The sequence below is a fragment of the Homo sapiens genome, chromosome 3 (genome assembly GCF_000001405.40).
Source record: "Homo sapiens chromosome 3, GRCh38.p14 Primary Assembly".
Taxonomy (NCBI): Eukaryota; Metazoa; Chordata; class Mammalia; order Primates; family Hominidae; genus Homo; species Homo sapiens.
Window position 1 is genome coordinate 33,499,220 of NC_000003.12, and position 15,961 is coordinate 33,515,180.

A 15,961-nucleotide genomic window follows, 5' to 3' on the forward strand; every position below is an offset into this window, starting at 1 on the left:
CCTGCCATCATGTGAAGAAGGACATGTTTGCTCACCCTTCTGCCATGATTGTAAGTTTCCTGAAGCCTCTCCAGCCATGCGGAACTGTGAGTCAATTAAATCTCTTTATGAATTACTCAGTCTAGGGCAGTTCTTTTTTTTTTTTTTTGAGATGGAGTCTCACTCTGTCACCCAGGCTGGAGTGTAGTGGCGCAATCTCAGCTCACTGCAAGCTCCACCTCCCAGGTTCACACCATTCTCCTGTCTCAGCCTCCCAAGTAGCTGGGACTACAGGCGCCTGTCACCATGCCTGGCTAATTTTTTATATTTTTAGTAGAGATGGGATTTCACCGTGTTAGCCAGGATGGTCTTGATCTCCTGACCTTGTGATCCACCCACCTCGGCATCCCAAAGTGCTGGGATTACAGTTGTGAGCCATCGTACCTGGCCTAGGGCAGTTCTTTATAGCAGCATGAAAACAGACTAATATAACATTAAAGTAAACTCAGAAGTCACCATTAAAGCAATAATAACAAACAATTGAGTACTAGGTGTTACACGATATGCTGTTTTACATTATATCTTTATCTTTATATTTTATAGATGAGGAAATAACAATATAGAATGGTTAAGTTACTGCCTGAGGTCACAGGGGTGGGTAAGAAGTGGGCAAAAATAGGAATTCAGGTATTTGGGTTACAGGACCTAAGATCTTAGACCATGAAGCCACTGTCATCCTACCAAGAATGTTTTAAATATCTCTGTGTCATTCTGCAGTCTTTGTATGAGATCATGACTTTATGAAGTTTGTAATCAATAAATATACAATTCTGTGTTCTACTTTTTTTTTTTGATACAGGGTCTTGCTCTGTTGCCTGGGCTGGAATGCAGTGGTGTGATCACGGCTCACTGCAGCCTGAATCTCCTGGGCTCAGGCAATCCTTTCACCTCAGCCTCCCAAGTAGCTGGGACCACAGGCACATGCAACCATGCTTGGCTAATTTTTTTTCTTTTTTTGTAGAGACAGGGTGTTCCTATGTTGACCAGGCTGGTCTTGAACTCCTGAGGTCAAGTGATCCTCCCACCTTGGCCTCCCAAGTGCTGTGGGAGCTACCACATCTGGCCTACTTGTTTCATCTAACGTTATTCCAAAATATTTTTTCCACCTACCTACTGTCTTCACATGTAACATTATTACTGGCTACCTACTGTTCTGATAAAGTGCTGAATTTTAATTGTTTTGGAAGGTTTGCTTTTTAAACATTAACTCTTTGATCCAAGAGTTTTTAACCTGCTAGCCATGGGATTCACGGGATCACAGAACCCTCTGAAACGACATGTAATTGTTTCCATTGTGCATTTTTCTATTTTTTTTAAAACTTTGTCTCTCATGGTTTTATCTGAATGCATTTTTCTTAAGATGAGATTTTACCTAAGTCTCGAGGTGGTTTATAACCCGAGTTAAGAATTATTGTTAAATCTATCTATAACTTAATGTAAAGTGTGTTACCTAGGCTCATTTTCCATTATATGTATATTCTGCTTTTTTGCTATTAAAAGATAAATTTGACCACAGTAAGACAATCCTTAGGGTTTCAGAAATTCTTTAAGTGACGGTGAGTGCTTTCTGCTAAATGGTTCATAAGCCATGATTCAACAATCAGAAGTTATCTTCACCCTTGAGAACAAACTTCTAATTCAAAACAATTATTATCATTTTTATTATTAGAGACACGGTCTTCTCAGTATGTTGCCCAGGCTGGTCTCAAATTCCTGGTCTCAAGTGATCCTCCCACCTCGGCCTCCCAAAGTGATGGGATTACGGGTATGAACCACTTTGCCTGGCCACCTTAGCAGAATGAATTTTAAAGTACTGGTAGTAGCAATCAAATGAGAAAGGCAAGACTTACTTATTTTTTTAAGTCTGAACAATGAATTAGAAAACTTTTATTTTAACACACCAAGTTAAAGTTGCACATTAATTTGGATAATAGAAAGAGAAGAACAAATATTTGATTATCATAGTTCTTAAGGGGAAAAATTTTTAAATGTGCAAGTATTCTATATTTGGAGAGATATACAGTAATCCATTAATATATATAACCACAACAGTCTATTTATTCTTAATAAAACAGTGGTCAGGGGTAAAGATTTGGGTCTGGGATTTGGTAAGGAGTCAGCTAACTATTATAAATAACCAGAAGCTGCAGGCATTTTCTCTCACAGAAACCTACCCATCACCCCAACAAACTGCTGACTTCACCTGAGTGAACATCTAACAAATGTTAGAGTAGAAAAAGATAAAATACAAAACAGAAATAATAAGGGCAAGTTGGATGCTCAAAGCCTGACTTATTAAATGCCAAATAAAAAGCTTACTGTTACAGACATGTAACTAAGTTTTGAAAGATGTACTATGGCCACCATCTCTAAAACACAGCAGCACTACTTACTTTACTGCCAGTAAGTTGACTGAGATGTGGTTTTAGTTCATCACCAATTACCGCATGAACAGCCACCAGGCAGAAGACACAAGCTTTCCGAACACTGCTCTCTGAATTATCATAACCCTACGGAGAGAAGTCCACTGTTAGTACTCCAGAGAAGTCCACTGTTAGTACTCCCTTTTTAACAGGGTCAGAAGATGCAGCTGAAAGATGAAATCTCGAGCATACTAAGGAGAGAAAAGTGCAGATCAAAGTTAACTTTTTAACCTTTTCAAGCATAGACAATGCCCTTCTCTCCCTTCACTTCCCCTACTGCGCCCTCACTGTTAGCCCTCTATATCAGGTTCTTACTTAGTCTGGAAAGCTGCACTTCTCTGACTCTGAGGCTGCTCACTTGCCAATTCACCCTGAAAAAAGTCTCCAGACTAACTTTCCTAAAGCATTAGGTTTTAAGGCAGTCAGCACTCCTCACTATCCGATAAAACCTAAATTCATTGGTTTGGTAGCTCAAGGTAGTCACATAATCCAGGCCCGATTAAGTTTTACATCTGTTCCATCCCTGCAATTACTTTCTCTAATAAATCTAGTCTATGTAAACTATTCCCCTATGCTTTTACTGTGCCTTTAATAACCTAATTTTATTTAAAAAATTAACTTGTTTCTAATTGACAAATAATAATTGTATATATTTATGGGGTATAATGTGATGTTTCAATACATGTACACTGTGGAATGACCAAATCAGGCTAATCAACATATCCATCACCTCAGATACTTATCATTTCTTTGTGGTAACATTTAAAATGCATTTTCTTTTATAATTGCTACTTTGAAATATACATTATTAACTAGTTACTGTGCTGTGTAATACGTAGCTAGAACCTAATACTCTTTAACTGAAACTTTGTACCTTTTGACCAACATCTTCCCTTTCTCTGTCCATCTCTCCCACTTACGCTTTTGATCACACTACTTACTCTATTTCAATACTCTACAGCAATCTTATCCATGAAATATTTTTGAATGAATTATCTGAATGAATATGCACATTTTACTCCAGGGAAAAAATAGAGCTCATCTCCACTAAAATCCTAATCATTTTATCTTTCTAAAACAACTGCAGAAACATTAAAATATCAATAGATATCTAGCTAAAAGAAGTACATTATTCCTAAGTCATGCAATCAAACTGTTAATTTTATTTTCCATCATTTTAATATAATTGCAATTATAATGTAAATTAATTTTTCTATATGGTCTTTATAATAATGATATGAGGCATTCATTTAGTATGCTTCCTAATTTAACCATTCTAGAGTATTGTAAGTTTACATCTTCCTCCCCAATAACCTCCTTCCTGCTAAATTTTTCCTATTACAAATAACACTGCAAAGAGTATGGCATTCAATGTTTAAATATTTAAGTGCCTGGTATGTGACAAGAACAGGCCAGGTAAATAATGTTCAGTGTCCAAAAAGACACGCACTGTCCCTTCCCAGAACAGTTAGGGAATCGCATGGCAGAATGAGGTATTATGGGCAAGGAGTGGAATAGGAATGTAATATTTATGATTGGATAATATTCCATTGTATGATATATCATGTTGTTTATCCATTTATTAATGGATATTTGGGTTGTTTTCACCTTTTGGCTACTGTGAATAGTGCTGCTATGAACATTCATGTATAACTATTTAAATATTTGCTTTGACTTCTTTTGGGTATATACCTGGGAATAGAATAGGTGGGTTATATGACAATTTTGTGTTAACTTTATCTTTTTCCTTTTTTTTTTTTTCCTTGAGATGACGTCTTGCTCCGTTGCCTAGGCTGGACTGCAGTATGTGATCTCAGCTCACTGCAACCTCCACCTCCAGGGTTCAAGCAATTCTCCTGCCTCGGTCTCCCACATAGCTGCGATTACAGGCGCCCGCCACCATGCCTGGCTAATTTTTGTATTTTTGGTAGAGATGGGGTTGCATCACGTTGGCCAGGCTGCTCTTCAATTCCTGACCTCAAGTGATTCACCCGCCTCGGACTCCCAAAGTGCTGGGATTACAGGTGTGAGCCACCGTGCCCGGCCTTTATGTTAACTTTTTGAGGAACTGCCAAACTGCATTCCACAGCAGCTGTACCACCAATTTGTATTTATGCAAGCAATGTATAAGGGTTCCAATTTTTGTACATCCTCATCAAAACCTGTTATTTTTGTTCTTTTGATCACAACCATCCCAGTGGGTATGAAGTGGTATCTCATTGTGGTTTTGATTTCCGTAATTACTAATGACACCAAGCATCTTTTCACGTACTTGCTGGCCATTTGTACATCTTCTTTGAAGAAATAGCTATTCAAGTCCTTTGTCCATTTAAAAGTTATTTATCCTTTTGCTGTTGAGTTATAAGAGTTCTTTATATATACTCTGGATAGTAGACCATTATCAGATATATAATTTGCAAGAATGTTCTCCCATACTATAGGTTGTCTTTTCAGTTTTTTGATTAGGTCCTGAGATGAACAAAAGTTATTAATTTTGATGAAGTTCAATTAACCTATTTTTTATTTATCATTGATGCTTTAGGTGTCATATCTAATAATCCACTGCCATAGAGGATGAACTTAAATCTAAGGTCATAAAGATTTATCGCTATGTTTTCTTCTATGAGTTTTGTAGTTTTAGTAGCTATATTTAGATCACTGATTTGTTTGAGTAAATTTTGTTTACGGTATGTGGTCACTGAAGTCTCTTTGTTACCTCAGCAGTTAGCCAGTGACCTGACAGAGATTTCCTTAAATGCCTGGGGTCAAAACAAAACAAGACAAACTCTCCCAGTCTTTGCAGATTGACTCTGAGCTGCGTAATCATTCAATTAGCTAGGCTGCCTACAATTCTGTCTTAGCCCAACTCCTACTTGCATGGAGCCCAAAGAACATCCAGAGGTCCAAGCCTAGGGCCCTCTAAGACGGTGGTCCCCAGCCTTTTTGGCACCAGGGACTGGTTTTGTGGAAGGCAATTTTTCCACGGATGGGGAAGGGTGATGGGGGGATGGTTTCAGGATGAAACTGTTCCACCTCAGATCATCAGGCATTAGATTCTCATAAGAAGCATGGAACCTAGATCCCTCATATGTGCAACTCACAATAGGCTTCATACTTCTGTAAGAATCTAATGCCACTGCTGATCTGACAGGAGGCGAAGCTCAGGTGGTAATGCTCGCTTGCCCACTGCTCACCTCCTGCTGTGTGGCCCAGTTCCTAACAGGCCATGGATCAGTACCAGTCCATGGCCTGGGGGTTAGGGACCCCTGCTCTAAAGTCTTTTCTGAGCATACTTTTGGTGGATTCCTCAGTACACGTGGGCCCAGCAAAACCCTTATTTCACAAATTATCTTCTTCATCAGCTTCCTCCTTCCCAGGCTTTTGTTTGCTGCTTGTCTTGTCTGCTCTCCCTTGCCTCAGGTGGCTATGGGTAGTATGTTTTTAAATCTTTTCAATAGACTCCACTTAGGAAGCCACTTCAGCCTGATGGGAGGTGAAACAAAGGCTAGTCTCTGTGCCAGCCTCTCAGGGAATGCCAGAGATAAAAACAACAACAACAACAACAACAACAACAACAACAACAACAAAACATAACCACAATTTTTTGAGAACAAGGTCCATGTCCCTCCTGGCACCAGCAAGCTACACCACAAATATGGGCCACCATCATCAAGGCTACTGAGCATGGGGGATGGTAGGCAGTTAGGTAAGTTTCTTACTGAAAATAAAAAAGTATTTTCAGTACATGAAAAAGAATGAAGTTGAAACCCTACCTCACACCATATACAAAAATTAACTCAAGGAGTGATGCACAGAAAATGGCAGACAGAGTAGGAAGCTCCAAGAATTGACCCCTCTACTTAAGCAACCACTGAGCTGGCCAAAATGAATAGAATCATGCTACAATAATATATGAAGTGATTTTCAGTGGCTGCTAAAATCATTAGGTGAAAAGATGATGGGGCAAGGTATATAATGGAGGGATTAGACTAATAACATCTGAACCTACTGATCAATCTTAACATCACTGAAGGCGGGACAACTAGACATTATGTGTCATTCAATGAGATGCCACCTAAAAAAGTTTTCTTATTTGGCTTGGCGGCTCATGCCTGTAATCCCAACACTTTGGGAGGTGGAGGCAGGAGGACTGCTTAAGCCCAGGAGTTGGAGACCAGCCTAAGCAACATAATAAGACACTATCTCTACAAAAAATTAAAAAAATTATCCAGGCAACTCACCACCTAAAACAAACAGGAAATTAAGCCAGAAAGTAATCTTTAAAATATTATACTATGTCCTGGAAGTATTAAGCCAGAAAGTAATTTTTAAAACATTATCCTATGTCCTGAAAGTGTAAACTTCATGAAGTATTTAATATGACATGATACTTAGAATTTGCTTTGAAATAGGCCAGGTGCAGTGGCTCATGCCTGTAATCCCAGCACTTTGGGAGGCCGAGGCAGGTGGATCATGAGGTCAGGAGTTCAAGACCAGCCTGGCCAAGATGGTGAAACCTTGTCTCTACTAAAAACTACAAAAATTAGCCGGGCACGGTGGCAGGCACCTGTCGTCCCAGCCAGATACTCAGGAGGCTGAGACAGGAGAATTGCTTGAACACAGGAGGCAGAGGTTTCAGTGAGCCGAGATTGTGCCACTGCACTCCAGCCTGGGTGACAGAGTGAGACTCTGTCTCGAAAAAAAAAAAAAAAAAAAAAAAAAAAAGAATTTGCTTTGAAATAAAATTTGATGTATTTTAATTCATTGTAGTATTATTCTAAAGTACTGAAAGTAAGCCTTTTTCTTTCATTAAGTACTCTCTTGGTTACTATAAGTTTTTGGTTAGATCCTAGAGTTCCAAAAAAGTTGATTCTATTCATTTTTTGCCAGCTCAATGGTTGCTTAAGTAGATGGATCAATTCTTGGAGCTTCCTACTCTGTCTGCCATTTTCTGTGCATCACTCCTTGAGTTAATTTCTGTATATGGTGTGAGGTAGGGGTTCAACTTCATTGTTTTTCATGTGGAAACCCAGTTGTCCTAGCATCACATTTATTAAAAATACTCTTCTTCCCCACAAAAAACTGTGATAATCAATTGCCTATAAATGTGAGGGTTATTTTTGGATTCTATTTCATTGATCTATTAAGTCTACCTTTATGACAGTACCATGTTGTCTTTACTATCATAGCTTTGTAATACGTTTTAAAATTGAGAGTGTAAGTACTCCAATTTTGTTCTTTTTCAAGTTGATTAGATTCTTTTTTTTTTTTTTTGAGAAGGAGTTTCGCTCTTGTTGCCCAGGCTGGAGTGCAATGGCTCAATCTCAGCTCACTGCAACCTCTGCCTCCTAGGTTCAAGTGATTCTCTTGCCTCAGCCTCCCGAGTAGCTGCGATTACAGAGGCGCACCACCACACCCGGCTGATTTTTTGTATTTTTACTAGAGACGGGGTTTCACTATGGCCAGGCTGGTCTTGAACTCCTGACCTCAGGTGATTTGCCTGCCTCAGCTTCCCAGAGTGCTGGGATTACAGGCGTGAGCCACCACACCCAGCCAAGTTGATTAGATTCTTGAGACTCTTTAACAGTTGATAACCTCCTCTTCCTCTTTCTTCATGCCATTTCTTTACTAAAGAAATTTGGCAGTTTTCCTCATAGAATTTCCTACATTCTGAATTTGACAGAATATACCCTTAAGGTACAATTTAACATGCTTCTCTATTCTCTGAACTTCCTTTAAACTGACAGTTAAACTGAAGACTGGATTAGATTTAGGTTCAATTGCTTTAGAAAAGAAAACTTTTAATTTTTATTTTTTGGAGACAGGATCTTGCTCTGTCACTTAGGCTGAAGTGCAGTGGTATGATTGTGGCTCACTGCAGTCTCTACCTCCTGAGCTCAAGTGATCCTCCCACTTCAGCCCCCCAAGTAGCTGGGACTACAGGCACATGCCATCACGCCTGGCTAATTTTTAAAATTTTTTTGTAGCAACAGTTTCTTATTATGTTGCTTAGGCTGGTCTCCAACTCCTGGGCTTAAGCAATCCTCCTGCCTTAGCCTCCCAAAGTGTTGGGTTTACAGGCGTGAGCCACCAAGCCAGGCAAGAAAACTTTTGTCTAGTTGTCCCACCTTCAGTGATGTTAAGATTGGTCAGTAGGTTCAGATGTTGTTAGTCTAACTCCTCCATTATATACCCTGCCGCAACATCTTTTTACCTAACGATGTTGGTGGCTACTGAAAATCACTTCATATATCCATTGTTTCAATGAGGCCAAATATATATATATATATGTGTGTGTGTGTATATATATAATATATATATATATTTTTTGGAGACAGGCTCTTGCTTAGTCACCCAGGCTGGAATGCAGTGGCATGATCACAGCACACTGCAGCCTCAAATTCCCAGGCTCAGGTGATTCTCCTACCTCAGCCTGCTGAATAGCTGGGACCATAGGCATGCCACTGTGAGCCACCAACCCAGGTAAGAAAACCTGGCTAATTAAAAACAATTTTTTTGTAGAGACGAGGCATCACTATGTTGCCCAGGCTGGTCTCGAACTTCCAGGCTCAAGTGATCCTCTTACCTTGGCTTCCCAAAGTGCTAGGATTACAGGTGTGAGCTACCACACACTGCCTAAGAAATATATATACATATTTTTTGTTTGGAGATGGAGTCTCACTCTGTCTCCCAGGCTGGAGTGCAGTGCTGCAATCTTGGCTCACTGCAACCTCTACCTCCCGGGTTCACGCCATTCTCCCGCCCCAGCCTCCTGAGTAGCTAGAATTACAGGCGTCTGCCACCAGCCAGCTAACTTTTGTATTTTTAGTAGATATGGGGTTTCACCATGTTGGCCAGGCTGGTCTCGACCTCCTGACCTCAAGTGACCTGCCCTCCTTGGCTTCCCAAAGTGCTGGGATTACAGGCATGAGCCACCACACCTGGCCAAAAATAATTTTGTAAGTCAATAATTTCTTCTGAATTTACTAGCTGGAATCCTTCTAAAAGTACTTTATCTCATCAAATATTTGGTTATCCTGAAAATAGGATAGGTAGTCTATGAGCTTTGATTCTTTCTCTTTATTAACCAATTTTGGGAATAACCAATAATCTTCAAAGTTGGCCAGTTTTTAAAGTATCAATATAAACTCATGAATTTCACTTTAAAATTTGATGTATTTTAATTCATTGTAGCATTATTCTTTTTGACCCTCAAACATGAATAGTTTCCTTGCTTTCAGTCAATAATTCTCAGGCTCATTTTATACATTACCTGCTCCAAACCTGGACTCAGTCATTTTCCCAAAGACACCTGACTCTTTTGAGTGGAAAATGGTATTTGAAGACCACAATCTGGGTGGTAGGGATGCTCAGTGTTACTGAGTTGATACTGATTCAGAGGCTAGTAGGAAACATTTTTTGAGATAAGAAATTAAATAATATTTTCATTTTGACATACCCAATTCAAAGTTAAGGTTTTAAGATTTACTTCATTTTATGACATCATTATTTGCTTTGTCCTAATCTATCTTATCTATCTGATATGTGTATTGATGTTATTACTATTAAAAAATAACCATACCAGCATCTTTCCTAACTATCTTGGCTCACCGCCAACTCCACCTCTCGGGTTCAAGCAATTCTCCTGCCTCAGCCTCCCGAGTAGCTGGGATTACGGCATGTGCCAACACACCTGGCTAATTTTGTATATTTAGTAGAGACAGAGTCTCTCCATGTTGGTCAACCTGGTCTTGAACTCCCGACCTCAGGTGATCTGCCCACCTTGGCCTCCCAAAGTGCTGGTATTATAGGTGTGAGCCACTGTGCCCAGCCTATTATACTCTGTTCTTAGTACTAAGGCATAGACAAAGATATCTAGATCTTATGTTAGGACCTCCCAATTTAGTAATATTAAGCTTAGACTAGAATAAAAAATACAATACTATAGATGCATAATGATTAGTTCTCTTTAGGAGGGTTCTTAATATACATACTATGTAATATTAGTCAGCCATTAAAATCATATTGTAAAATATTATTTATTGGATGGAAAGAGTTCACAATGTATGGTTAAGTTTTAAAGCATGTTATAAAACACATCTCATTTTTGTTAAAATGTTTCTATGATGGGGTTTATGTAGCTAAAGAGAAACACATTACATCTATGACTATAAATTAGTATAACCACTTTGGAGTGAAATCTGGCAACACCCAGAAATTCTGTTTCTAGATGTATATATATAAGTGCATGAAGATATTACAAGGAAATTATTACAATATTTGTCAATAAAAAGGAAATAATCCAAATATTTATCAACAGATGAACAGATTAACAATTTGTGGCAAATACATAAATGGCATATTATTCATTCATAAAAAGGAATGAAATTCTAATACAAGCTACAACATGGATGAACTCTGAAAACATTATGCTAAGTGAAATAAGCCAGACTTAAAAGGACAAATATTGTATTATTCCACTTATAAGGAATCTAGCAGAAAATAGAATAGAGGTTACCAGGTGCTGGGGGGGATGAAGGGAGGAAGGAATGGGGTTATTGCTTAATGGGTACAGAGTTTCAGTCTGGGATGATGAAAAATTTCTGTATGTGGATAGTAGTGATGGTTGCATAACACTGTGAATGTAGTTAATGCTCCTAAATTGTACAATTAAAAATCGTTAATTTTATGTTATGTAAATTTTACCACACCCACATCTATAACCCCCTGGCTAGTTATGAAAAGTCTTTGTCCTGAATATTGCAGACAAACGGGAGGAAGGCTTGATCATGCCAGTAATGATGCCTGGAAAGTACCTAAAATAACTGTATCCCAAATGTATCATGGCTTATTCCTCTCCAAGCTTTGTTGCTTACCTGTATTAGACCTGGCATAATCTCTGGCAAAAGCAGGTTTAGGGTTTCCTTGGACACTCTCTCTATCACTTTTGTTTGCATTTTGATTGCAGCCAGATTAATTGGGTAGTCTGCAGTTTGAATGATAGGACAAAGCACTTTGATGCACTGCTCTGGACTAATTGAAGTGGCCAACACTGATGCCGCTTCCTCAGCAGATCTCACCACCTAAAAAAAATAGGAAATTAAGCCAGAAAGTAATTTTTAAAATATTACACTACATCCTGGAAGTATAAACTTCATGAAGTATTCAATATAATATATGGAATTTGCTTTGAAAATGCTACAGTAAACAAACATGAAAAGTGAGGGTACAGATTACTGATAAAAAGGATTGGCAAAATGTCAGTAACAGCTGAAGCTAGATGATGGATACATGGGCTTTATTACACTATTCTCCCTTCTTGTGTTCTTTTTTGCTGTTGGCTAAAGTATTTTTTTTTTTTTTTTTTTTGAGACAGGGTCTTGCTCTGTCACCCAGGAAGGAGTGCAGTGGCTTGATCATCAGTCACTATAGCCTCAAACTCCCAGGCTCAAGTGATACTCTCACCTCAGCCTTCTGAGTAGTTGGAACTACAGGCATGCACCATCATGCCCGGCTAATTTTTTTTATTTTTATTTTTAGTAGAGATAAGGTCTTGCTATGTTGCCCACGGTGATGTTAAACTCCAGAGCTCCAGCAATCCTCCTGCCTCGGCCTCACAAAGTGCTGGGATTACAAATGTGAGCTGCCGTGAGCGGCCTTAAAGTAGTTTTTAAATCAAATTGTGGTCTAGTTGTGTTAGTGTGAGGAGGCTCTATTTACTTAGACTACAATGTGACTGGAGTCCCCTGCATAAGCCATGCTGAAGCCCTGCTCATTATTAGTACTCTCATCTCTAGGAGTCCTTGAGCCCTCTGTATCACATTAATGAGAAATAAAATATAAAAATAATATGATTAATGTGTTGTCAAAAGTTAACATACTATTCCTCCTTGTTTTCCTAATATTTTCTTCCTTCTGTATTGAGCTTGGGGAGGGTAAAACACTGGTTTTGTGATGAAGACAAGAAATGGCTGTCTATCTTCTTACCAGAGTCTGTAATCTCTAAAGATAGTCTTAAGAACACGTAAAAATAAAACAAACAACCCCATCAAAAAGTGGGCGAAGGACATGAACAGACACTTCTCAAAAGAAGACATTTATGCAGCCAAAAAACACATGAAGAAATGCTCATCATCACTGGCCATCAGAGAAATGCAAATCAAAACCACTATGAGATATCATCTCACACCAGTTAGAATGGCAATCATTAAAAAGTCAGGAAACAACAGGTGCTGGAGAGGATGTGGAGAAATAGGAACACTTTTACACTGTTGGTGGGACTGTAAACTAGTTCAACCATTGTGGAAGTCAGTGTGGCGATTCCTCAGGGATCTAGAACTAGAAATACCATTTGACCCAGCCATCCCATTACTGGGTATATACCCAAATGACTATAAATCATGCTGCTATAAAGACACATGCACACGTATGTTTATTGCGGCACTATTCACAATAGCAAAGACTTGGAACCAACCCAAATGTCCAACAATGATAGACTGGATTAAGAAAATGTGGCACATATACACCATGGAATACTATGCAGCCATAAAAAATGATGAGTTCATATCCTTTGTAGGGACATGGATGAAATTGGAAACCATCATTCTCAGTAAACTATCGCAAGAACAAAAAACCAAACACCGCATATTCTCACTCATAGGTGGGAATTGAACAATGAGATCACATGGACACAGGAAGGGGAATATCACACTCTGGGGACTGTGGTGGGGTCGGGGGAGGGGGGAGGGATAGCATTGGGAGATATACCTAATGCTAGATGACACATTAGTGGGTGCAGCGCACCAGCATGGCACATGTATACATATGTAACTAACCTGCACAATGTGCACATGTACCCTAAAACTTAGAGTATAATAAAAAAAAAAAAAAAAAAAAAAAAAAAAGAACACGTAAAAATAACTGCTTTTGATGCTACTTTGGCAGTCTCTCACTTAAGATCTCAATAGGTGAAAAATGCTTAGAAAGGTACAGTGGGACATACACTGGAAAAAAAAAAAAAAAAAAAAGGCCAGGAGTGGTGGCTCAGCCTATAATCCCAGCACTTTGGGAGGCTGAGGCAGGCAGATCACGAGGTCAGGAGATCGAGACCACCCTGGCTAACATGGTGAAACCCTGTCTCCACTAAAAATAGAAAAAAATTAGCATGGTGTGGTGGCATGCACCTGTAGTCCCAGCTGTTAGGGAGGCTGAGGCAGGAGAATCGCTTGAACCCAGAGAGGCAGAGATTGCAGTGAGCCAAGATCGTGCCACTGCACTCCAGCCAGGGCGACAGAGTGAGACTCCGTCTAAAAACCAACCAACCAACCAACCAAACAAACAAAAAACAAGAAAATACACTGGACGTTAGAAGACCCAGGGCTAATTTCAGCTTTAATACCTTAAGGGTGTCAATTTTATATTTTGTAGGGATGCTACAGGCCTTATTTGGGTCAAAAGGTAGATAACTAAACTACAAATATTAGGTATCATTTTTAAACTTTCAGTGAAATGCCATAGATGTACCACTACCAAACACGGTTGAATAAAACAAAAACAAAAACAGAAAACAAAACTGGGTCAGGCAAGGTGGCTCAAGTCTGTAATCCCAGCACTCTGGGAGGCCAAGCCAGGCAGATCACTTGAGGCCAGGAGTTCGAGACCAGCCTTGCAAACACAGCGAAACCCCGTTTCCACACAAAAATTAGCTGGGCATGGTGGTGCACACCTGTAATCCCAGCTATTTGGGAGGCTGAGGCAGGAGAACCAGTTGAACTCAGGAGGCAAGGGTTGCAGTGAGCTGAGATCGTGCCACTGCACTCCAGCCTGGGTGACAGCGAGACTCGGTCTCAAAACAAAAAAACCCCAAAACCCCTGCAAAAATCCAGATATATTTAAAAGTTATGATTCACTCTTCTAAAAGAGTCACAGTGAAATCTCTTAAAAAAGTAATTACCCCAAGGGTTTCAATTTCCCTGCATCCTCACCAACATATTGTCTATATTTCTTTTGGGTGTTAAGTGGTCTCTCACTGTGGCTTTGGTTACATTTTCCTAATGACTAATGATGTTGAACATCTTTTCATGTGCTTATTGCCATTTGTATATCTTTGGAGAAATGTTTATTCAGATCCTTTGTCCATTTAAAAAACTGGGCCATCTTTTCATTGCTGAGTTGTAAGAATATATATTATGGATATTAGTACCTTATGAGATACATGTCTGCAAAATTTTTCTCCCATTCTATGAGTTGCCTTTTCACTTTCAGGATAATGTCCTTTGAAGGACAGAAAAGATTTCCTTTGATTTTTTATTTATTTTTATTTTTGAGACAGAGTCTTGCTCTGTCACCCAGACTGGAATTCAGTGGCATGATCTTAGCTCACTGCAGCCTCCGCCTCCCTGGTTCAAGCAATTCTCTTGCCTCAGCCTCCCAAATTGGTGGGATTACAGGTGTCCACCATGACACCTGGCTAATTTTTGTATTTTTAGTGGAGATGGGGTTTTGCCATGTTGGTCAGGCTGGTCTCGAACTCCTGACCTCAAGTGATCCACCTGCTTGGCCTCCCAAAGTGCTGGGATTACAGGCGTAAGCCACCATGCCCAGCCAATTTTTTTTTTTAAATGTTACCTCTAGCTGACCACTAAGCTAATAAAGCACAAAAGGATTTAATGCTGATGAAGTCCAAATTGTGTTTTCTGTTGTTGGTTGCTTCTGCTTTTAGTTATATTATGAAATCACTGCCTAATCCAAGGTAACAAAGATTTATACCTCTGCTTTCTTCGGAGAGGTTTATAGCTTTAGCTCTTGCATTTGGCTCTCATTCATTTTATCTCACTGCTATTTTAACCTTCCTTTTTTGATTTGTCTTTTGCTTCTGTCTTGGTTCTACCATAGATACCTAATGCTATTGCTCAGTTGCTTTCTCTTAGAAATACAGTCCTTACAGAACTAAAAGTAGAACTCCATTTGATCCAGCAATCCCACTATTGGGTATCTACCTAGAAAAAAAGAAGTCATGATATGAAAAAGATACTTGCACACAGGTGTTTATAGCAGCACAATTGGCAATTGCAAAAATATGGAAATAGCCCAAATGCACATCAATCAATGAATGGATAAAGAAATTGTGTATATGTATATACACACACACACACACACCATGTGTATGTGTATATACGCACACACACACCATGGAATACTACTCAGCCATAGAAAGGAATGAAATAATGGCATCCACAGCAACCTGGATGGAATTGGCGATCTTTTATTCTAAGTGAAGTAACTCAGGAATGGAAAACCAAACATCATATGTTCTCATTCATAAGTGGGAGCTAGGCTATGAGGGTGCAAAGGTATAAAATGATACAATGGACTTTGGGGACTTGGGGGAAAGAGTGGGTGTGGGGTGAGGGATAAAAGACTACACATTAGGTACAGTGTACACCGCTAGGGTGACGGATGCACCAAAATCTCAGAAATCACCACTAAAGAACTTATTC

At 39.3% G+C, this 15,961-nt stretch overlaps 1 protein-coding gene across 81 annotated transcripts in view; it reads right to left on the reverse strand.

Moving 5' to 3' along the window:
* The window catches only part of CLASP2 (cytoplasmic linker associated protein 2), a 222,010-nt gene that overhangs the window by 2,975 nt on the left and 203,074 nt on the right, over positions 1–15,961 (reverse strand). For all 81 annotated transcript variants that reach the window (NM_001375713.1, NM_001400406.1, NM_001375705.1 and 78 more), the window contains 2 exons: positions 11,339–11,545; positions 2,433–2,549 (listed from right to left, as the gene is read on the reverse strand). In NM_001375713.1, the coding sequence (NP_001362642.1) occupies positions 2,433–2,549; positions 11,339–11,545 (324 nt within the window). The remainder of the gene's footprint in view (positions 1–2,432; positions 2,550–11,338; positions 11,546–15,961) is intronic.